At 43.9% G+C, this 22956-nt stretch overlaps 1 protein-coding gene across 4 annotated transcripts in view, besides 2 other annotated features; it reads right to left on the bottom strand.

Moving 5' to 3' along the window:
* Positions 1 to 22956, bottom strand: part of GALNT17 (polypeptide N-acetylgalactosaminyltransferase 17) — a 581456-nt gene that overhangs the window by 447978 nt on the left and 110522 nt on the right. The gene's annotated exons all lie outside the window — the stretch shown is intronic.
* Positions 9258 to 9767: an enhancer, noted in NCBI's record as "OCT4-NANOG-H3K27ac-H3K4me1 hESC enhancer chr7:70720841-70721350 (GRCh37/hg19 assembly coordinates)". NCBI's record gives its function as "activates a minimal SCP1, AML or CMV promoter by ChIP-STARR-seq in naive and primed H9 embryonic stem cells {active_cell/tissue: H9 hESC(naive and primed)}" and the evidence as "EXISTENCE:reporter gene assay evidence [ECO:0000049][PMID:30033119]".
* Positions 9768 to 10276: an enhancer, noted in NCBI's record as "OCT4-NANOG-H3K27ac-H3K4me1 hESC enhancer chr7:70720332-70720840 (GRCh37/hg19 assembly coordinates)". NCBI's record gives its function as "activates a minimal SCP1, AML or CMV promoter by ChIP-STARR-seq in primed H9 embryonic stem cells {active_cell/tissue: H9 hESC(primed)}" and the evidence as "EXISTENCE:reporter gene assay evidence [ECO:0000049][PMID:30033119]".

Genomic DNA, 22956 nt, shown 5'->3' with positions numbered 1-22956 from the left:
CCTCCCCTCTCTGCCAAGAAAATCTCTGCTAATCAGTCACACAGTAGCTCTGATACCACCACCTCTGTCAAACCTTCCTTGCCCTCCTTGTGCAAATTTAGCCTCTCTACACTCTATCATTATGTGGTATCAACATAAAGATCTTCTTAAGAATTTCTCACATTAAAAAATATTGATACATAATATTTTATATAGCTGGCTGGGCACAGTGGCTCACGTCTGTAATCCCAACACCTTGGGAGGCCAAGGCGGGCAGATCATGAGGTCAGGAGTTCGAGAGCAGCCTGGCCGATATGGTGAAACCCTGTCTCTACTAAAAATACAAAAATTAGCTGGGTGTGGTGGCATGCGCCTATAATCCCAGTTACTTGGGAGGCTGAGGCAGAAGAATCACTTGAACCCAGGAGGCGGAGGTTGCAGTGAGCCAAGATCGCGCCACTGCACTCCAGACTGAGTGACAGAGAGAGACTCCATCTCAAAAAAAAAAAAAAAAAAAAAAAAAATATATATATATATATATATAATATTTATGGGTTACGTGTGGTATTTTGTTACATGCATCAAATGTGTCATGATCAAGTCAGGGTTTTGGGGTGTCCATCACCTCAAGGGTTGATCATTTCTATGAATTGGGAACATTTCAAGTCCTCTTCTAGTTATCTGGAAATCTACAATACATTGTTGTTAACTACAGTCACCCTACTCTGCTATCAAATATTAGAATGTATTCCTTCTAACTGTATTTTTGCACCCATTAACCAACCTCTCTACGAACCCTACCCCTGCCATTCACCCTTCCCAGCCTCTGGTATCTATCGCTTCACTCTCTGGCCCCATGAGGTCGACTTTTTTAACTTCCACATATGAGTGAGAACATTCAATATGTTCTTTTCTGTGCCCGACTTATTTCACTTAACATAGTGACCTCCAGCTCCATCCATGTCCCTGCAAATGACACGATTTCATTCTTTTTTAGGGTCAAATGGTACTCTGCTGTGCATACACACCACATTTTCTTTATCCATTCCTCTGTTGCTGGACACTTAGTTTGATTCTATACCTTTGCTATTATGAATACTGCTGCAATGAACAGGGGTGCAGGTATCCCTCTGACACACTGATTTCCTTTCCTTTGCATAAATACTCAGCACTAGGATTGTGGAGGGTATGGAAGTTCTAGAATTTATTACATTTTTACAGTAGGTTCAATAACGTGACTGTCTTCACCCCCTCAGGTACAACCCAGGTAACCCCAGAAATGTATCTGCCTATATAAGACTAGAACCAAGAAGAACCCAAAAAACACAGGGAGAATGAACCGAAGACTAAATAAAGGGTTGTGTCCTTCAGCTGTCAAACTAAGAGGGCCTATGATAAAGAAAGCATGTGCGGCATGCTCAACCCCTAGAGAGCAGGTCCAAGAGGAATGAAGGCACAACTGGAAGCATCAGCTGCCCCCAGCAGGCTAATCCACATGCTCTCCCCTCACTCTCAAAGTCAAAATGTTCAAAAAGCTAATAGGAGGGCCTGCTGAGAGCCACCTCCAGGCTTGCAAGTGCCAGAGCAGTAGCTCTCAAACGATAGTCCCCAAGACCAGCAGTATCACCTAGGAAGATGCCAGAAAACGCAAATTTACAAGCCCCACTCGCTCCCACACATGGAAACATCAGATTGCTGAAGTTGTTTTTTTGTTTTTTTGGGACGGAATGTCGCTCTATCGCCCAGGCTGGAGTGCAGTGGTGTGATCTCGGCTCACTGCAAGCTCCGCCTCCCGGGTTCACGCCATTCTCCTGCCTCAGCCTCCCAAGTAGCTAGGACTACAGGCGCCTGCCACCACGCCGGCTAACTTTTTGTATTTTTTTAGTAGAGACGGGGTTTCACCGTGTTAGCCAGGATGGTCTCGATCTCCTGACCTAGTGATCCGCCCGCCTTGGCCTCTCAAAGTGCTGGGATTACAGGCATGAGCCACCGCTCCCGGCCAGATCACTGAGGTTTTAACAAGACCTCCAGGTGTTTGCAAGCCCACTAAAGTTTGTGACCCACTCTTTCAGAGGCAAGGAAAACCCAAGGAGGCTCTAAAGGTAAATTCCTGCAAGTGGCAAACAGTTCTCTTCCCTGTATTTGTTTGCTAGCATTGCCATAACAAAATTGCACAGACTGGGTGGCTGAAACAACAGACATTCACTGTCTCATCGTTCTGGAGGCTGGAAGCATAAGATCAAAGTGCTGCAAGATTGCTTCTTGTTTTTTTGTTTTGTTTTGTTTTTTGGAGTCTCGCTCTGCGGCCAAGGCTGGAGTGCAGTAGCGCAATCTCAGCTCACTGCAACCTCCGCCTCCCGGGTTCAAATGATTCTCCTGCCTCAGCCTCCCAAGTAGCTGGGACTACAGGCACCCGCCACCACACCCAGTTAATTTTTTATATTTTTAGTAGAGACAGGGTTTCACCATGTTAGCCAGGATGGTCTCAATCTCCTGACCTCAAGATCCGCCTGCCTCAGCCTCCCAAAGGACTGCTTCTTTCTGCAGGCCTCTCTCCTTGGTTTGCAGATGGCCCGTCTTATCCTTGTGCAACCTCATATGGTCTTTCCTCTCTGTGCACACATGTGTGTCCAAATTTCCTCTTCTCATAAGGACACCAGTCGGCTGGGTGTGGTGTCTCATGCCTGTAATCCCAGTACTTTGGGAGGCTGAGGTGGGTGGATTGCTTGAACTTACGAGTTTGAGACCAGCCTGGGCAACAAAGTGAAACCCTATCTCTACAAAACAAACAAAAATTAGCTGGGCTTGGTGGCTCGTGCCTGTGGTCCCAGCTACTTGGGGAGCTCAGGTGGGAGGATCACTTGAGCCCAGGAGGCAGAGGTTGCAGTGAGCCAAGATCACGCGACTGCACTCCAGCCTGGGTGACAGAGCAAGACCCTGTCTCAAAAAAAAAAAAAAAAAAAGAAAGTAAAAAAAAAGGACACCAGTCAGTCATCTTGGATTAAGGCCCACTCTAAAGACCTCATTTTAATTTAATTATCCCTTAAGATCTTTAAGATCTTTTCTACAAGTACAGTCTCATTCTGAGGTTCTGGGGATTAGGACTTTAACATAGGAATTTGGGGAAAATGCAATTCAACCCATAATAGTTCCCAAGAATTGAAATTGTGCCAAGTGAACAACTCCAATTTGCCTGCCAATGACAAGTGACATATACATAAGAAACAGGTTGGGCACAGTGGCTTACACCTGTAATCTCAGCACTTTGGGAGGCTGAGGCAGGAGGACTGCTTGAGGCCGGGACTTTGAGACCAGCCTGGACAACATAATGACAGTCTGCCTCTACAAGAAAAAAAATTAAAAATCAGCCAGGCAAAATGGCACATGCCTGTAGTCCCAGCTACTCAGAAGGCTGAGGTGGGAGGATCACTTGAGCCCAGGAGTTTGAAGCTGCAGTGAGCTATGATCGCACCACTGCACTCCAGCCTGGGTGACAGAGCAAGATCTCGCCTACAAAAAAAATAAAAATCAATTAAGATTTAAAAGAAGAAACCAACAGGGCAATTCATCCTGACATTCTTGTTCACCATCACCATCATCACGCGTCAGAAACACAGCCTCCTAGGTGCACGCTCAGGTAATCGGGGTGCCCAAGATGTAGACCCCCTCAGTGCTCACGGCTCCCGGGAAGAGGGCCCAAGCTCGTCACCTCTGGCAGCTGTCTTATTTTACTCCACTATGCTGTAGAAACACCATCATTTTCCATGGAGGTGGCAATGTGAAAAGGGTGAGATAATAATAGTAACTACCACCTCCGATTCCTAAGAGGAATAAATGAAGTACACGTGCAAAAAGCTGAGACACACTTGGCACAGAGGCTACACCTCCACAGAAGAATGCCCAGCCAGTGTTCCTTACGGTTGTCACGATCACCACCACTGTCACAGCCAAGGGCACCAGGGCAAGCCCCCTGCCAGGCACTACCTCAGGGATTCAAGGCACACGAAGCCAACCTTCCAGGGTCTCCATTTCACGGAGGAAGGAGCTTCCTCCTCTTGGTTGGTGACCCCACCAAATGATTTGCAGTGTCTCTTCCAGTTTGGAGATGCTATGCATCTCTTGACACTTCTATAATTCTGCCATTCTCCCTGACTCCCAGGAGAACCCGGGATCTGTGAAGACCTCAGAAGCTGAGTGCTAGGCTGACTGAAACACAGACCTTTGCTTTAGTTATTCTGCTGTGTGAGATCCATTTGCCAAGGGAAATTGGGGAAAGTATTTTTGCTCCGGTGGCTCTGAGCAGTCAAATAACTTCCTCAAGCACCTGCCTGGCAAGTGGAAAAACTGAAAGTGGCTTTGCTCAATCCCTCTAAGCTCCGAAAGGGAACAGGGGCCCATGAGTCCTGCCAGGCAGAATCCAGGATGCATCTCAAGCAGCGACTCTCAGACGTGACCGCACGTTGGAACCATCCAGGCAACTTTAAAGACCTCTAGTGCCTGACCCCACCCAGATTTTCTGATATAATCCATCGGAGTATAGCCTGAGCATGGGGACTTCTCCAACTGTCCAAGGGCTTCCAAAGTGCACACATAGGGGAATCCCTGCACTGCGAAGTCAGCTGCCCACTCAGGAGGATGAGCCGGTGTGACGATCAATAGGATGTCATCTCTATATGTTGAAATTTAACACCTGGGTTTATAATTCTTTTGGAATCAAACCAGTTTAAGGATGAAAAAGAGGCTGGGCACAGAGGCTCATGCCTATAACACCAGCACTTTGGGAGGCTGAGGCAAGAGAATTGCTTGAGTCCAGGAGTTCGAGGCCAGCCTGGGCAACATAGTGAGACTTCCATCTCTACAAAATAAAAATAAAAATAAAAATTATCAGGATGTGTTGGCATGTACCTGTGGTCCCAGCTACTTGGGAGGCTGACGCAGGAGGGTCACTTGAGCCCAGGAGTACAGAGAGCTGGGATCATACCACTGCACTCCAGGCTTGGTGACAGAGCAAGACTGTCTCAAAAAAAAAAAGATTAAAAAAAGATTTTAAAAAATCCAAATAGTGTCTCAAGGAGTAAAACTCCTGGGGAATAATAAGGTACAGCATAAAAGAGGAGGAGTAGAATATTTCTAGGAGAATGAGTCCCCTAAAAGCAAATGCCTTGGCTAAAAATACTTTCCCCATTTCCCTTGGCAAATGGATCTCACACAGTGGAATAATTAAAGCAAAGGTCTGTGTGTTTCAGTCGGCCCAGCACTCAACTTCTGATGTCTTCACAGATCCTGGGCTCTCCTGGGAGTCAGGGAGAATGGCAGAATTATAGAAGTGTCAAGAGATGTACAGCATCTCCAAATTGGAAGAGACACTGCAAATCATTTGGTGGGGTCACCAACCAAGAGGAAGAAGTTCCTTGACAATATCTATGATGTTTCTGCCTCTCGTCCTGGGAGGCTTACTCTTTCTAGACAGCCCATGGAACTTTCAGGTAGCACCAGCAGTTAGGGAGAAATCAGCCTCACTGCAACTTCTATTGCAAGTCCAGGATGGCCTCCAAGTCCACATGGGACAAAGCAACTCCTTTTTGTATATAAAATTCCTGCAAATATTTGATGACAGTGATCCCTCTCCCCATCCCCTACCCAAGACCTTGTCATCCTCTCTGCTCCCTTAATAGATGTTTTTCCATAAAACAGGACCAAGAGGCTGGGTGCGGTGGCTCACGCCTGTAATCTCAGCACTTTGGGAGGCCGAGGCGGGTGGATCACGAGGTCAGGAGATCGAGACCATCCTGGCTAACACCGTGAAACCCTGTCTCTACTAAAAATACAAAAAATTAGCCAGGCGTGGTGGTGGGCACCTGTAGTCCCAGCTACCCAGGAGGCTGAGGAAGGAGAATGGCATGAACCCGGGAGGCGGAGCTTGCAGTGAGCCGAGATTGCGCCACTGCACTCCAGCCTGAGTGACAGAGCAAGACTCCGTCTCAAAAAAAAAAAAACAAAAAAACAAAAAACAAAACAGGACCAAGATCTGTTGGTCTCCATCTTCTGTGTGTACTTCCATTGGCTTATGTCCCCTCTCTTAATATGTGACACTGTCCACTAAGCACAAACTGTGTATGAGATCTGAGACACAGGACAGGGACCAGTGCTTCGTTTCCAAGTGCCCGTAAAACCCTATATCTGCCCCTGCTAACTCTATCACCTTGGGCAATTGATACGACTTCTCTATGTTTTCATAATACTTTAACAAATTTCTTAAACCATTTCTCTTGCCTTCAAGTAGAATATAATTGATTTGAAAAGACAAGGCACACGTGCATGAAACAGGAAAGTGCCATCCCCCATTCAAACCTGGCTGGAACAACTTGCTTCTGTTGCTCCTTCTTTTCCAACTCCCTCTGACTCAGAGATCTGCAGCTTTGATCCAAGCCTTTGACATTTCTGGGTATGGAATTCTCTAGACATTCAGATTTAGGATGAAAAAGAGGCCCTCTGAAGGTAAGAGCTCCCTGCTCCAGCCCTACCCCATGAACTCAACCTAGGTCTCCCCGCTCCAGTGGGTACGGTGTGCCAGGCTTGGGGTCTTAGGTGATTGCAATATCATTAGAAACAACTAGAAGAGGTCCCCTCTCCAGCCTCATCCCCCATATACACATACCCTGAGCATCAGAAATACACTATGCCCCACCCTGTAGGCTTTCAAGCCATGCTTTTGTATGTCTTTTCTGCGTCAAATGTCTTCCCCACTCCTTCACTTACTTTCTACTTAGCAAACTCCTATGAATACCTCAAAACTCAGCATAAATATCATCCTCTCTGTAAAGGTTTTCCCAAGCATTCAGGGCAGATGGTAATGTTTTTTTCCAGGTTTCTGTGATACATTCCTGACACCTCTCTTACTGTGTTTATTTGCAGTTTTCCTGCAAACTCCTATGAATACATCAAAACCCAGCATAAATATCATCCTCTCTGTAAAGATTTCCCCAAGCATTCAGGGCAGATGGTAATGTTTTCTTCCAGGTTTCTGTGATATATTCCTGCCACCTCTCTTACTGTGTTTATTTGCAGTTTTTCTATACATGTGTCTATCAGCAGACTGAAAACTTCTTGGGGATGGACACATGTCTCATTTACTCTTAGATCCTCAGAGTCCAGTGTGGGGCTTAGGACACAAAAGGTGCCATATTTGTTGCATAGAACTGACTTGTAACCTGCATTATCAAGGCTTCACGAAAGAAACTGCACTTGAGCTGAGCTTTCTCAGGATAATACAAAACCGTGGAAGATTTCATGAAGCATGAAGAGTTCACTCTTGACCATGAATCAGCATTGCACTTAGGGAATACTGAGTGCAGTGAACAGCTTCAGATCTTCTAGTATTTGCAAGAAGCAAATGCTTCTTGTTGACACAGATAATATGGGAGTCAGCCCCTTGGCCCTGGGAGGCCTGGCCCTATGTTCTATACCCAGGAGGAATTCTCCCAGGAAGCAGCTTCTCTCTGAGAAAGGACTTTTGGGTCTCAGCTCATGTGAGTGCAAGGGCAGCCATTAAGGAAGAGGGTGGCCTTTGGGTTCCCTGATCCATCCCGTCTCAATTCATTGGTATTAGCAATGGCGGGAGGCCATGGATACGGCCGAGGGGAGCGATGATTTGGGTTTAGAAGCATAAAGGGCCAATGCAGAGGTCAAATACAGCTGGCTCATGGTGTCACATGGTCTTCCAGGAGTCAAGGCTGCCTGTCAATGCCCAGGAGGCTGTGGTAGGCAGTGATTCGTAGAATCCAGGATGCACAGAACGGTTACCCACTTGCAACATAATTCTTCCTTTGTCAAATTACAAGTGCCCCTAAAACTCATCACGGGATCCATACAAGACAAACTTAGGCTTCTGGCATCACCTGTTGGTTCGTTCTGCAGCAGATCCATCTCCAGCATCCCCACAGTGGCCTGGAAGGGACTGGGGGCATTTCCTAGGGACCCTGAAGAGACCAGTGACTGAATACAGCATTTTCCTCCTGAAGGCGAGGTTCAGCGTCACACTAAAACCATAAATAATAGTGGAGAAGGATAGTGCGGAAACCTTCCACAAACCATATCAAACCTATAGCTTTTATACAGTAAATTATATTGACAAGCCATTTCTATTTTTCACTTCTACTTTTTCCCCCTTTGATAAATGAGCAGTGGAGGGGAGTGCTGGCTGTGCTGGGAAAGTACACTCATCTTTGGAGAAGAAAAATTCATTAGCTAATCCACCTACTTGGAGAATTTATTTCTAAGGCTGAACTTTCAGGAGATTTCATAATGGACACCCTGACTAATAGGAAGCATGAATCTGTTCCAGATGGTTAATTACTTTTTATCATTCCTTTTAATAATAGTTAAGAATAATAAGACAACTCGTGTGAAAAATGAGGATGCAGAATGAATTAAACTGATGTGTCCTGCACCCATTTCACAAAAAAAGAACAGATTGAAGTTGTTCAGACAGCCCTAAAATGCCAGGTTTTAAAACCAATGGAGGTTACAAACTACGAGCTATATAAAAGAAATTAATTTCTATGTTAACCAAATAATGTCCCCAGAAGTGGTCACACAGAGGCCGCTCAGCCACCCAGCAGGAATGTTGCAGAAGGCATTTCTGCAGGGGGTAGGAGTGCGAGAGAGAGAGTCCTTTTAGAAAAACTCTTCCCTCTCCTGCTCAAAAATGTTCTCTACCTCTGCATTGGAAATCTATACCTCTCAGCACAGAATCTGGGATGGCAGGACCTCTGCCAGCCTAGATAGTGTCATCTCCTACCTCTCTCATTCTCACTTGAACGGTCAATAGTACCGAGCTACTGAGATACGCAGTGTTGGCAAAAAGAGCGGCCCCATATTGGGTGCCAAATTATTGTCATTGAAAAAAGTCAAAATCTGTAAAATATTTAGAGAGATTTCTTCTGAGCCAAATATGAGTGACCAGTGGCCTGTGACACAGCCTCAGGAAGTCCTGAGAACACGTGCGCAAGGTGGTCAGTCCAGAACTCAGTTTTGTTTTTTTGTTTTTGGTTTTTGGTTTTTATTTTTTTGAGACGGAGTCTCACTCTGTCGCCCAGGCTGGAGTGCAGTGGTGCCATCCACTGCAACCTGCAACCTCCACCTCCCAGGCTCAAGCAATTCTCTTGTCTCAGCTTCCCAAGTAGCTGGGACTACAGACATGTGCCACCATGTCCAGCTAATTTTTGTATTTTTTGTAGAGACATGGTTTCACCATGTTGGCCAGGCTGGTCTCAAACTCCTACCTCAAATGATCCACCTGCCTCAGCCTCCCAAAGTGCTGGGATGACAGGTGTGAGCCACCACGCCTAGCCCATAACTTGGTTTTATACATTGTAGGGAGACAACAGGCATCAATCAATACATGCAAGCTGTGCACTGGTTGGATCTGAAAAGGTGGGACAGCTGAAAGCGGGGGCTTGCGGGTCACAGGCAGATTCAGATTTTCTGATTGGTAAATGGATGAAAGAATTATTATCAATAGAAAGGAATGTCTGGGTTGTGATAAGGAGTTGTGGAGACCAAGGTTTTATCATGCAGATGAAGCCTCCAGGTAGCAGGCTTCAGGGAGAATAGATTGTAAATGCTTCTTTTCAGAATTAAAGAGTCTGCTCTGTCAGTAATTCTGAAAAGGCAGAAGGGTATAATGAGGTATGTCCAGCTTCCCCTCCCTATCATGGCCTGAACTCATTTTTCAGGTTAACTTGGGATTGCCCTTGGCCGAGAGGACAGTGGTCCATTCATGTGGCTGGGGGAGGACTGAGAATTTTATTTTTGGTTTACAGCAGATGTATCTAGTCTCTCGGCCAGCCACTATGCCTTTACTCATGCTGTTCCCTCAGCTGGAATGCCTTCCACAAGCCAGCTCCCCTGAAAAAGCCCCAGGCAACCTGTACGTTTCCATTTAAGAGCTACTTTCCCTATGAACACATCACCACACTCTCTCCAGAGGGGACACCTTCTCCCCTGAACTCACAAGCATTTTCCAGGTTACAAATGAATCTTATGCAGGAAATTTGCACTACCGTCCCAGTAAACTGCAAACTCCTTCAGGGGAGGCAGAAGTCAACAGACTTTTGTCTTGACTGGGCTTAGCTAGCTCCTGTGTTAGTCAATTTTCACACTGCTGACAAAGACATATCCAAGACTGGGCAATTTACAAAAGAAACAGGTTTGATGGACTCAGTTCCACATGGCTGGCAAAGCCTCACAATCATGGTGGAAGGTGAAAGGTACATCTCACACATGGTGGCAGACAAGAAAAGAGAGAGCTTGTGCAGGGATACTCCTCTTTATACAACCATCAGATCTCATGAGACTTATTCACTATCACGAGAACAGCACGAGAAAGACCCACCCGCATGATTCAGTTACCTCCCATTGTGTCCCTCCCAAGACATGTGGGAATTGTGGGAGCTAGAATTCAAGATGAGATTTGGGTGGGGACAGAGCCAAACCCTATCAGCTCCATTCCTAGCATAGGATCATTGAATATTTTGTTGAATGGATGAGTGAAAATAGATAGGAATCCACTGGGGAAATGTTCTAACTTGAACATCCTGTGAGTCTAGATTCTTCCCCACTCCCTGACATCGCCTCTCACAGCTGATGCTGGCAATGAATGAAATCTTCTCTTGGCAGAAGGCCACTGATATACATGTTCTCTTTGGAAAGCTCCAGTTTTAAACTAGACCCAGAATCTTCTCCTCAGACAGACAACAAGATGTGATTCAGTGAAAGCCGCAGTAGCAGACTGTGGCCGAGTCTCATTTCAGATTCCTGTTTTCAGCTTGCTGGGTGACTTGGAGCAAGTAACAAATCCTGTGGGCTTTCATGTCACCCTTTATATGCTCAAAAGTGGGGTACACTCTGTAAATCAAAAATCAAATCTAAGCCCCCCAACTGATTGATGGACCCCCTTCTTGGCCAAGGGCATTCCAAAGAAACCTGAAAAACTAGGTGAGACCATGATGGGAATTAGGTGGTCAGACATGCCTTCTTACACTCTCCTCCTTTGGGAAGGCACAGGTGACCAGCATTAAAAGTAAAACAGAGATCTGAAGACTGACAAAAAAGATTCTTTGCAGCAGTAAGATACCAACATGATAGATGGGAGGCCCTGAAAGAAATCCAAGTATTTTACCCCAAAATATATTTCCTTGACATATTTTGAAACGGCACTGCAAAGCTATCTCTTGTAGGGAAAATCTACATTCTGTAGAGAATCCTCTTCCCTTCCCAGGTCTTTTTCCTGATCCAGGAGAGAATTAAGTAAGAGTCTGGCACCCTTTTATGTCCAATAAGAGCTCTGAAGCCTGCTGCCTGGAGGCTTCATCTGCATGATAAAAACCTTGACCTCCACAAGAATCTATCATAACCCAAATGCTCCTTTCTATTGATTCTAGGTCTCCAGATAATAACTTAACTCTTTCAACCAATTGTCAGTTGGAAAATGTTTGAATCTACCTATGACCTGGAAGCTCTCCTCAGCTTTGAGTGGTCCTGCCTTTCAGGACAGTGCCAATGCACACCTTCCATGCACTGATTGATGTCTTATGTCTCCCTGAAACATATAAAACCAAGTTGTAACCAGACCTCCTGGGGCACATGTTCTCAGGACCTCCCAGGACTGTGTCAAGAGTCATGGTCCTCTCATTTGACTCAGAACAAATCTCTTCAAATATCTTACAGAATTTGACTCTTTCCCTCAACAACTCGCCCTGGGGAATGCCAGAACAATTCATGGTACTGTGGAAAGGGTCACGGTCCTGTATCCAAAACCTTGGGCACACTGGGTTTTAGAATCAGAATTTGGGGAGCTGTAGAAATTTTTTAGAATCAGAGTTCTTTGGGAGCTGTAGAAATTCTTACCTGTACCTATGTAAGCCAAAGAAAATGACTGACTCGAGTCTCAGTTATTTTAGAGATTTATTTGGCCAAGGTTTAGGATGTGCTCAGGAAAAAGGAACACAAAACCACAGGAAATATCAGTGATTCATGGTTTTTCCAAAGAGAGTTTGGGGACGTCTATATTTAAAGAGAAAAGAGTAGGCAGTAAGGAAGAGACGAAGGAAAAAAAAAAAAAAAGGAAGAGTAGGTAATATGGTTTGGCTGTGTCCCCACCCAAATCTCATTGTGAATTCTAGCTCCCATAATTCCCATGTGTTGTAGGAGGGATCCCGTGGGAGATCATCGAATCATGGGGGCAGTTCCCCCCATACTGTTCTCATGGTAGTGAATAAGCCTCATGAGATCTGATGGTTTTATAAGGGGTTTCCCCTTCTAATTGGCTCTTATTCTCTCTTGTCATGTAAGATGTGCCTTTTGCCTTCCGCCATGATTGTAAGGCCTCCCCAGCCACGGGGAACTGTGAGTCCATTAAACCTCTTTTTCTTTGTAAGTTACCCAGTCTTGGGTATGTCTTTATCAACAGCATGAAAACAAACTAATGAAGTAGATAAAAGAGGTACGTGGTTGCATTCATTTGAGGCTTTGATCAGTGGTCACTGAATCTGCATTTTACATGGGAAAGCAGAGGGCAGAAGAATAGTCAATTTCAAGTTGTCTTGCACACAGAGCATTTTTAATAAACATAGAGGATGCAGTCAGACAGGCATATGGCTCAGATGAGTGGAGGGATGATTTCAAATCTGTCCTTTGTCCCATACCTGTGAAGATAAACTGTTAATTTACATTGTCAGGGTGAAACTCAATAGAACTGCTTTAGGGTAAAAGATATTGGAGCCCACAAAGAATTTCCTCATGAATAAATCGTGAGGGAGGTATGCAGCCTTTTATCTTTGCAGTTATGAATTTAGGAACAAAATGGGAAGCCGGTTTGCATGACTGTTCCCAGCTTGACTTTCCCCTTTGGCAGAGTAAGTTGAGGGCTCCAAGGTTGTATTTTCCTTTCACACATATATGTATGATCTAACACTCTCTAATGGGTCTGGGTCAGCATCCCAACTTAACATGTCAATATTCCTGAAATGAAATGTGTGCACAGTCACATTAAATGAGACAAGTAAACGTCATAAATAGCCTTATATCCCATTACAGTTAGGTTTTACCACCTTTTTTTGACACAGACTCTCACTCTGTAGCCCAGTGGGGTGCAGTGGTACAATCTTGGCTCACTGCAGCCTCCGCCTCTCATGTTCAAGAGATTCTCCTGCCTCAGCCTCCCGAGTAGCTGGGACTACAGGCACGTGCCACCGTGCCCAGGTAATTTTTATATTTTTAGTAGAGACAGGGTTTCATCATGTTGGCCAGGCTGGTCTCAAACTCCTGTCCTTGTGATCCGCCTGCCTCAGCCTCACAAAGTGCTGGGATTACAGGCATGAGCCACTGCACCCGGCCTCATCTTTTTTTTTTTTTTTTTTGAGTTTCAGGATCGCAGATAAAAGGTTGCAAGCCTATAATAAAACTTCTGTTATAGCAATGCTTATTGATCTGAAAACAAAAAAAGGATATCGGGTATAACCACAATAAACACATGCCCTGGTGGTGACATCCTCTTTTGGGGGTGATGTCCCATGTCGGAAGGACAATTTGCTCCCTGAGTGAGTCCCGGAGGAGGCAGCAGGGGCACCTTCTTCCAGGGTTGGATCACAGCCCGAGGCTGAATGTGCAGTTTACACATGCCCAGGTAGTGACTGTACAGATCTTATGGTTCAGCTTTAACCAAACAAGTCCTCATAAAACAGGTAAGAGACATAAAGATTTGTGCACACAGCATGTGCCCTGGGGGTGACAGTCGTAAGGTAAACACAAGCTGCAACCTCACAGGGCAGAGCTGACGCTTTTCTGCCTGTTGGGAGCTTGTCTGGAGCCACTATCTGAGATTAAAAGACTGACAATCCGATATAGGTCCAAAAGGAATTATCAAGAAGAATATCGAGGTCAGTTGTGGTGGCTCATGCCTGTAATCTCAGCACTCCGGGAAGAGAGGATCACTTGAGGCCAGGAGTTTGAGACCAGCCTGGGCAACACAGTGAGACCCCATCTCTACGAAAAAAATTTTTAAATTAGCTAGGTGCAGTGGTGCACACCTATAGTCCTAGCTACTTGGGAAGCTCAGGTGGGAAGACTGCTTGAACCCAGGAGTTCAAGGCTGCAATGAATTATGATAGTGCCACTGCACTCCAGCCTGGGCAACAGCATGGACCTTGTCTCAAAAGAAAAGGAGAAAGGTATTGAAATATGGATGCAGACCCACTGCCAGTAACACTAATTCTTACCTTAAGAATATATCATGCTTTTGAATGACATTTTAAAATGAACCATACAGAAATAGAAGGCAAGTATCTGTAATATTTTCAATGATATTTAACACCCTACTAGACACAATCCCAGGACCTTCCAAATTTCCCCCAAACTAAACAATAAGCATTGTGATTCTCTTTCAGAGTTCTCCACCCAATAGCAAAAGGGGGAGGGGGGAGGGATAGCATTAGGAGATATACGTAACGTAAATGATGAGTTAATGGGTGCAGCACACCAACATGGCGAATGTATACATATGTACAAACCTGCACGTTGTGCACATGTACCCTAGAACTTAAAGTATAACAAAAAATAAATAAATAAGAAGTCATGTTGGGGAAATGCTTATGCTTTCACCTACAGCCAAGATAGCAGGACTATTACACAAAAACATAATCTGGCAATAAACTAAATGCATTTCTTTGTCAGCAAATACTTTTGGAAAATGTATTGAAAACACTGGTGACAACTTGAAGACAGAAACTTAAGAAAGGCGCACACAGAAGGCAGGTTTGCTGTGCTCAGGGAAAAGGGTTTTTCCCACGTTTCAGCCTGTGATACTTGCTAGATTCAGTCTCTGTTACAACACATACAAAATACCACTTTTGTGAGTCAATGATCGGGTTGGTGCAAAAGTAATTGCAGTTTTTGTCACTACGGTAAATTTATATTCTGAACTAAATGAGTTCTTACGTGAAAACCTTGTTCGAGGGGAAAAACGTCTAGGGTGCCTCCTGATGGAATGGATGCTTTGACTGAAATAAAAGAAGGGTTTTGGGGCGAGCTTACAGAGACAGGTGCACAGCTAATTTCATTCACTCTATATTCCTAGCAAGTTACTACAGCAAAGGGCACGAAAGCCTCCAGGATATCAATCGTAAAAACACAGATATTTAAAATATAGCCATACTGTCAAAAAACTCCTTTAGTAAAATAGGCAGTGACCTAAATCCCCTGGAAATACCCAGAAGTTTGCTGGTTATCTTGTGTCAAAAAACTTAAGAAGGGCTGTAAATTAATAATAAATTATACATTATTTTTTAAGTTCAAAATATAATGGCCTATTCTTGGATGACAGATATCCCTCAAGAGCCTATGGCATCCATAAATATTTTCAGAAAAAATAAACGTACTTAATTTGTTACCTCAAGGTAAAGATGACATTTAAACGATGAATGAGAAACTAATGCTTTCCAATAAAAAAGAATACTTGTACTACTAGAGAGTCATTTTGAAATGGATGTTTGGAAATGTTTCTATGATTAATGATTTGTGGCTGAAAATGCTATAATTTAATTTATAAAAACTCATATGTTCACACTTGAAAAACTTGGAAACAGATTTTCTAGGCTTTTAAACGCCTTCCATATGAAGAGTTTCAGCAGGTTTTGGGCCCATTTGTTAAAAATATTGAAATGCATCACCTTTCAGTTAGTTTGCAAGAGCAACTGACTGGCATCATGAGAAATGGAAATTTACTAGCTGAATTTCAACAAAAACTTTTGCATAATACATGGATGGCTTCGCGAAGCGAGTATCATAATTTATTAAGCACCACCAACTATGAATTTCTTCTACTTGGATCTACATCTCTTTTGGGGGGTATCTTTTCCAGTATTGAAACCAAAAATAAGTGAATTAAAACCAGACCTGTGAATTACTCTATCACAAAGTATTAAATCATGATTTTGAAAATAACAAAAACAGATCTACTAAGATGGCTGCCATGGAAAATACAGCCAGTAATGATATTTTAATGAGAGGAAAAAAGGTTTCCTATGCTATTAAATAAACCATATTGGAAAATAAATTTGAAGCATTGCTTATTTCATCTTCATCATCTCATGCTTTTAAATACAATCTGTCAGCAATCCACACATATAATTTATAATTAAACATATATGCAGGTATTGGAGGTATGTGCTCAAAAATTTTCACCAATAGGGGTATGCAATCCAAAAAAGGTGAGAGATCACAGATCTGTAAAATGGGGGGACCACTGACATGTCTCCCAAAATTAACGAGAGAAAAAAATAAATATGAATATGCTTTGAAAGAAGGACAAAGTGCTAAAAAGAGGTAAGACATTATAAACATCCTTGCAGGAGGTATATTTAACCCACGTAAGAAAGGAAATCTGAAACAGATGCTGTTATGTAAAGATGAACCTTAAGAATGCATGTGCCTGAAAATATTGGCTGTGAGTTTTGCTCACCATATACATGAACTTCAAGATACTGACTCTACTTTTTGTTATTTTCTTCTTATTGCTTTATTATACAAACATTATAATGACAATGGTGATTACCAGCTACTGTTGACTGAATTTCTCCTAAATGCCAGGCCCAAAGGGAGCATAACATCACCTCTATTTCTTACAACATATCTAGAAAGATTCAGTAGAGAAGAGGCAAGAAGATGGTACAAAGAGGTGGTTAAGGCTGTCACCTTTACGGTAAAAGTAGGTGGATCTGGAAGCCCAGATTTGCTCTGAGTGACTATGACAAGTCCTCCACGTTCCCTTGCCTGTCTGTAGATACCGACCTTATAGGTGGGTGGGGAAGACCGAATGAGCTGATGTATAGAAAGGCTAAGAACAAAGAAGCATGGGGGGAAATGAGTTGCTAGTATTACAAACTATTATTATTACACCCATTTCACAGATGACAAAGCTGAAGCCATTCATTGACAAAGCTAGGATCTGACTTAAAGGAACACTGCAATTGTAATGAAGTGATCTGAAAAAAAACAAGGAAAATGATCATTCCTATTTTCACCACATGAACACATCAACTGTTCTCATTTTCTGTATGTTCCTTTCAGGTCCTATCTGTATGTTTCTGTCTTTATTTTATATATAAGTCGCAGTACAGTTGACCCTTAATAACACAGGTTTGAATTACATGGGTCCACTTATACATGGATTTTCTTCTGCCTTGACCACCCCTGAGACGGCAAGACCAACTGATACGGTTTGGCTCTGTGTCCCCACCCAAATCTCATCTCAAATTGTAATACCCACGTGTTGAGGGGGGGACCTAGTGGAAAGCGACTGGATCATGGGAGTTTCCTCTATGCTGTTCTCACGACAGTGAGTTCTCACGAGATCTCATGGTTTTATAAGTGTAGTTTCCTGTGCTCTCTCTCTCTCTGTCTTTTCTGCCACCTTGTGAAGAAGATACTTGCTTCTCCTTCACCTTCCACCATGATTGTAAGTTTCCTGAGGCCTCCCCAGACATGCGGAGCTGTGAGTCAATTAAACCTCTTTCCTTTATAAATTACCCAGTCTTGGGTCTTCCTTTATAGCAGTGTGAGAACAGACTAATACACCAACCTCTCTTCTTTCTCCTCCTCAGCCTACTCAATGTGAAGGCGATGAAGATGAAAACTTTATGACAATCCACTTCCACTTAACGAACAGTAAATAGATTTTCTTCTTCCTTACGATTTTCTTAAAAACATTTTCTTTTCTCTAGCTCGCCTTTATTGTAAGAATATGATATACAATACATATGACATACATAGTATGTGTTGATGGACTTTATGTTACTGGTTAGACTTCTGGTCAACAGTAGACTCTTTGGCCAGGTGCAGTGGCTCATGCCTGTAATCGCAGCACTTTGGGAGGCTGAGGTGGGTGGATCACCTGAGGTCAGGAGTTCGAGACCAACCTGGCCAATGTGGCAAAACCCCATCTCTACTAAAAATACAAAAATCACCCAGACACGATGGCGCATGCCTGTAATCCCAGCTGCTCGGGAGGCTGAGGCAGGAAAATAGCTTGAACCCAGGAGGCAGAGGTTGCAGTGAGCCGAGATTGCGCCACTGCACTGTCAGTGGGAGCGACAGAAAAAGACTCCATCTCAAAAAAGAAAAAAAAAGTAGACTATTAGTAGTGAAGTTTCTAGGAGCCTGAAGTTATTTGTGGACTTTCAACTGCCAAGGAGGTAAGCACCTCTAACCCCTGCATCGTTCAAGAGACAATTGTAGCCATCAAAAAATTTTTCTCATGTTTTCCCCATCTATCCCCAAAGCTATAACGAGGTTAGTATTTTTGTCTATGATGGTACTATTTTAAAACATTCTCCAGTACTTCTTTAATTATGTTTTCACTCTTCTTCAAGATAAATACTAACACAAATAAAAACATAAACATTTAAAAAAGTCTGAAAGAGCACAAATACACAATCTAAGCTCACACTTCAAGGAACTAGAGAAATAAGAACAAACCAAACACAAACCCAGCAGAGGAAAAGCAGTAATAGGCTGGGCGTGGTGGCTCATGCCTCTAATCCTAGCACTTTGGGAGGCTGAGGCAAGTAGATCACTTGAGCCCAGGAGTTCAAGACCAGCCTGGGCAACATGGCAAAACCTTGCCCCTCCCCCCTCCCCCCAAAAAGTCAATTGTACAGACAAGTATTTACATTATGCTTATATCATAAAAAGTACTTATTTCAGACAGATGCAAGCTTCTAAAGGGTATTCATAATTATAATCTCTTTTTTTTTTTGAGACGGAGTCTCGCTCTGTCGCCCAGGCTGGAATGCAGTGGCGCGTTCTCAGCTCACTGCAAGCTCTGCCTCCTGAGTTCACCCCATTCTCCTGCCTCAGCCTCCCAAGTAGCTGGGACTACAGGCGCCCGCCACATGCCCGGCTAATTTTTTGTATTTTTAGTAGAGATGGGGTTTCACCGTGTTAGCCAGGATGGTCTCGATCTCCTGACCTCGTGATCCGCCCTCCTCGGCCTCCCAAAGTGCTGGGATTAGAGGCGTGAGCCACCACGCCTGGCCTCATAAGTATAATCTTAATGAATGTATAGCAGTCTATTGATTAAATATACCATAATTTAAATGACCATTCCATTCCTATTAGTCTTTTAGGTGGCTTCCAAATTCTTAATATTAAAAGCAATGAGGGGCCAGGCGTGGTGGCTCACACCTGTAATCCCAGCATTTTGGAAGACCAAGGCAGGCAGATCATTTGAGGTCAGGAGTTTGAAACCAGCCTGGCCAACATGGTGAAATCCCATCTCTACTAAGAATACAAAAATTAGCCAGGAGTGGTGGGTGGGTGCCTGTAATCCCAGCTACTTAGGAGGCTGATGCAGGAGAACTGCTTGAGTCCAGGAGGTGGAGGTTGCAGTGAGCAGAGATCGCGCCATTGCACTCCAGCCTAAGTGACAGAGCAAGCCTCTGTCTCAAAAAAAAAAAAAAAAAAAAAAAACAACGAAAAAAGCTATGAGGCCATCAGCATTTTCATGCATGTGGCACTTTTCCCCCTTTATGATTGATTTCCCTAGCATAAATTCCCAGAAGGAAGATTACTAGTTCAGAGGTATGAAATATTTTTATGGCTCGGAGTATGTACTTCCAAATGGCTTTCCAAAGGTGTGATTCTGATTTTACAAGGCCACCAGCTATGGGGTCCAGGCAAAATCTCACTTATACAGGGTAGGAGTGCAAAGATACCTTTGCAAAAAAAAAAAAAAAACCTGCTCTCTTGCTCTCTGCAGACCTTTCCCAATTCACACCAGTCTTCCCCTATTGATTTCTCCTGTTTTTACTGAGTGATCTCTGTGCTCCTCTTTAAAAGAATTTTCCACCTCCAGAAGCTAATTTGAAATACTAATTTACACACAGAACTCACCTTCATTATCTCTAGCCTTTGCCCATTAAAGAGACAGAAAAATCTAAACCAGTTCAGTCCCCAGTGTCCACAGGGCGTTAACCTTCAGAGACCCAGAACTAGAGGTTGCACATACGCCCAGAGATTGCTCCCAAGTCTCCACTCTTTCACAGCAAAGCATTATTTTTTCACCTAGATTTGGCCAGACATGGCCAAATTTTCCACCTGCCTCCCCCTTTTCCAAACATCCCAAGGACAACAAATGTGCCTGGAATGTCACCATGAGCATAGACTACTCCATACCTGTGCCCTTCTTTACACCCGTGGATGACAGGCAGCACAAAGTAAAAATGGCAACAACATTCTGCCTCACAAAATTAGGATGGTTTTTTAAAATAGTCTCTCTTTTTAGCACACTCTCTTAGCACGGCCCCCACAGAATCTTCCCACTTGGTATAGATCATGTGTGGGGTTAGAAAAGCCCACAGACTTCAGTCATATTATTGTCGACAATGACAAAGGCTCCACCAAGCGAGTGGATGGAGGACGAGGGCAGATGGGTGCCAAAGACTTAGAACGTAATTATTTCAACCACTTATTATCCAGGAGCCAAGAAAAGAACACAGATACCAAGAGGCATTTGGAAGGTCCTAGAGTGGGGCTAGGTGACATCGATTAATTGCTTTTCCTGAGAAACATCCATTTCTTCCTAGGGGTCCTTCCCAAAAGACAGAGGTTTTTTTTGGTTGATTTTTTTTTTTCTGGAGATAGGGTCTCGCTCTGTATCCCAGGCTGGAGTGCAGTGGTGCCATGATAGCTCAATGCAGCCTTGAACCCCTGGGCTCAAGTGATCCTCCCGTCTTGGCCTCCCAAGCAACTAGAACTACAGGTGTGCACCACCATGCCCAGTTAATTTTTAAATTTTTTTGTAGAGATAAGGTCTCACTATGTTGCCCAGGCTGGTCTCCAGTTCCTGGCCTTAAATGATCCTTCCACCTCAGTGTTGCAAGCATGAGCCACCGCACCTGGGCAACTTTTAATCCAAGTATTGGGAATGGGAGGGATCCCAGTCTCTGCCTTCATTCTAAAATCTTCATTTCCACAAAGTTGTCACGTAATCTCTCTTCATTCCTCACCATAAGCCTAAGGGGTTGGCATTTTTATTATCTCATTTTATTTACAGATGGGGATAAAGGAGTGGGATGACTTGCTCAAGGTCACACAACTAATAAAGGGCAGAGTTGAGGTTCAAACTCAGATCTGTGTGTCTCCAAAGACTCAGCTCCTGACCATCAGGCTCTCTTCTCTCTTACTGGAATGCTCCCAGAAAATAAAAGAGCCGTGAAACCAAACGCTACAGTGTTAGGTGTCAGAACTCCAAATGCCAGGAATTACTGAAATGTCTTAGTGTCAATCAACCCTTAATGACCTTGGCAAGCATTCTCCCTGATGACAGCAGACCCAGAGAGAATGAGCAAGTGGGAGCCAAGAAGGATGCATTGAACTAGAAGAGTTCAGGAGGTGCCTGTGCAGCCAGGCAGGATCTGGACGGAGCAGAGCTGGGCATGCAGTAGCAGCAGGCGGATGCTGGAGCAGTTCTGTATCCACACTCTCTTCTTAACTGCTAAACTGCTCTAGTCACTCCCTTCCTAAACACAGGCACAGAAAACGCCACCTCTAACCCTGCACCTCCATCTCCCTTTCCCCAGTTCTCAATCCAATTTCTTGGCATAGTCATCCACATCGGTTCCATTTTCCCATTTTCTCATTTCACACCCCACCCCACTTCAATCTGGCTTCCACAAACTCTTGATCCTGCCAACGACATCATGACCTCATCATGGCCAAATTCAATAGACTTGTTTCAGTCCTTTTATGAACAGACATTTTTCATTTTTGCACAAGTTTGGCCGTTGTTTTTTCTCATTCCTCATACTATCTGCCCCCAAATGTGCTGTTTTATGAGGTCTCAAAAAGGAAAATAAGAACAAGATCGAAGGAAGTTAAAGGGCTGGATGCAGCAGCACCCACCTGTAGTCCCAGCTACTCTGGAGGCCAAGATGGGGGGGTCACTTGAACTCAGGAGTTTGAGTCCAGCCTGGGCAACTTAGCAAGACCCCATCTCAATAAGAAAAGAAAAGACAAGAAAAGAAAAGAGAAACAATAGCAAAGGAAGTTGAAGGATTGCATATTTCTGCTTGTGGAAAAGAAACCTTTAGTAGAATTAAGGTCGCCCAACATGTTATACATCATAAAGCAAGCCGGAATTATATTAGACAAGAATGATGAGCAGACACTGAAATCATTGAAGAGTAGATGTATTAGTCTATTTTCGCACTGCCATAAAGACATATCTGAGACTGGGTAATTTATAAAGAAAAGAGGTTTAATTATAAAGAAAAGAGGTAATTTATAGAGAAAAGAGATTTAATTGACTCACAGCTCCACATGGCTGGGGAGGCCTCAGGAAACTTACAATCATGACAGATGGGGAAGAAGCACGTCTCACATGGTGGCAGCAAGAGAGGACAAGAAAGATCAGAGAAAACTGCCTTGTAAAACCATCAGATCTCGTGAGAAATCACTCACTATCACAAGAACAGCCTTGAGGAAACCACCCCCAGGATCCAATCACCTCCCACCTGGACCCTCCCTCAACATGTAGGGATTAGGGAGATTACAATTCAAGATGAGATTTGGGTGGGGACACAGAGCCAAATCATATCAGTGGACCAGATAGGTTATCTAGAATATTCTTCCCAACTCTAAGATTCTAATGGCCTAACTAGCTGTAAACCACAGAAAGGTAAAGTACACCTGCAATGAACATTGAGTGTCTTCTATAGTAGGCCCAGTAATGGGCACCCTGGGAGACATAAAAGGATGTGAGTTAGCATATCAGTTCTGCTGTTTGTGACAGAGACCTAAAATGACACCAGCTTTACCAGGGAAGATGGCAGTCTTGCACAGCAAAGTCCTCAGGGGCCCAGGCTGTAAGTTCCTCCCCACTATCCCTAAATGTTGCCCTCTTCCTTGTAGTCCAAGTTG

This window comes from Homo sapiens, chromosome 7, assembly GCF_000001405.40.
Source record: "Homo sapiens chromosome 7, GRCh38.p14 Primary Assembly".
NCBI lineage: Eukaryota > Metazoa > Chordata > Mammalia > Primates > Hominidae > Homo > Homo sapiens.
The sequence above is the reverse complement of the archived record's forward strand: the minus strand, read 5'-3'. Positions and strand labels throughout refer to the sequence as shown.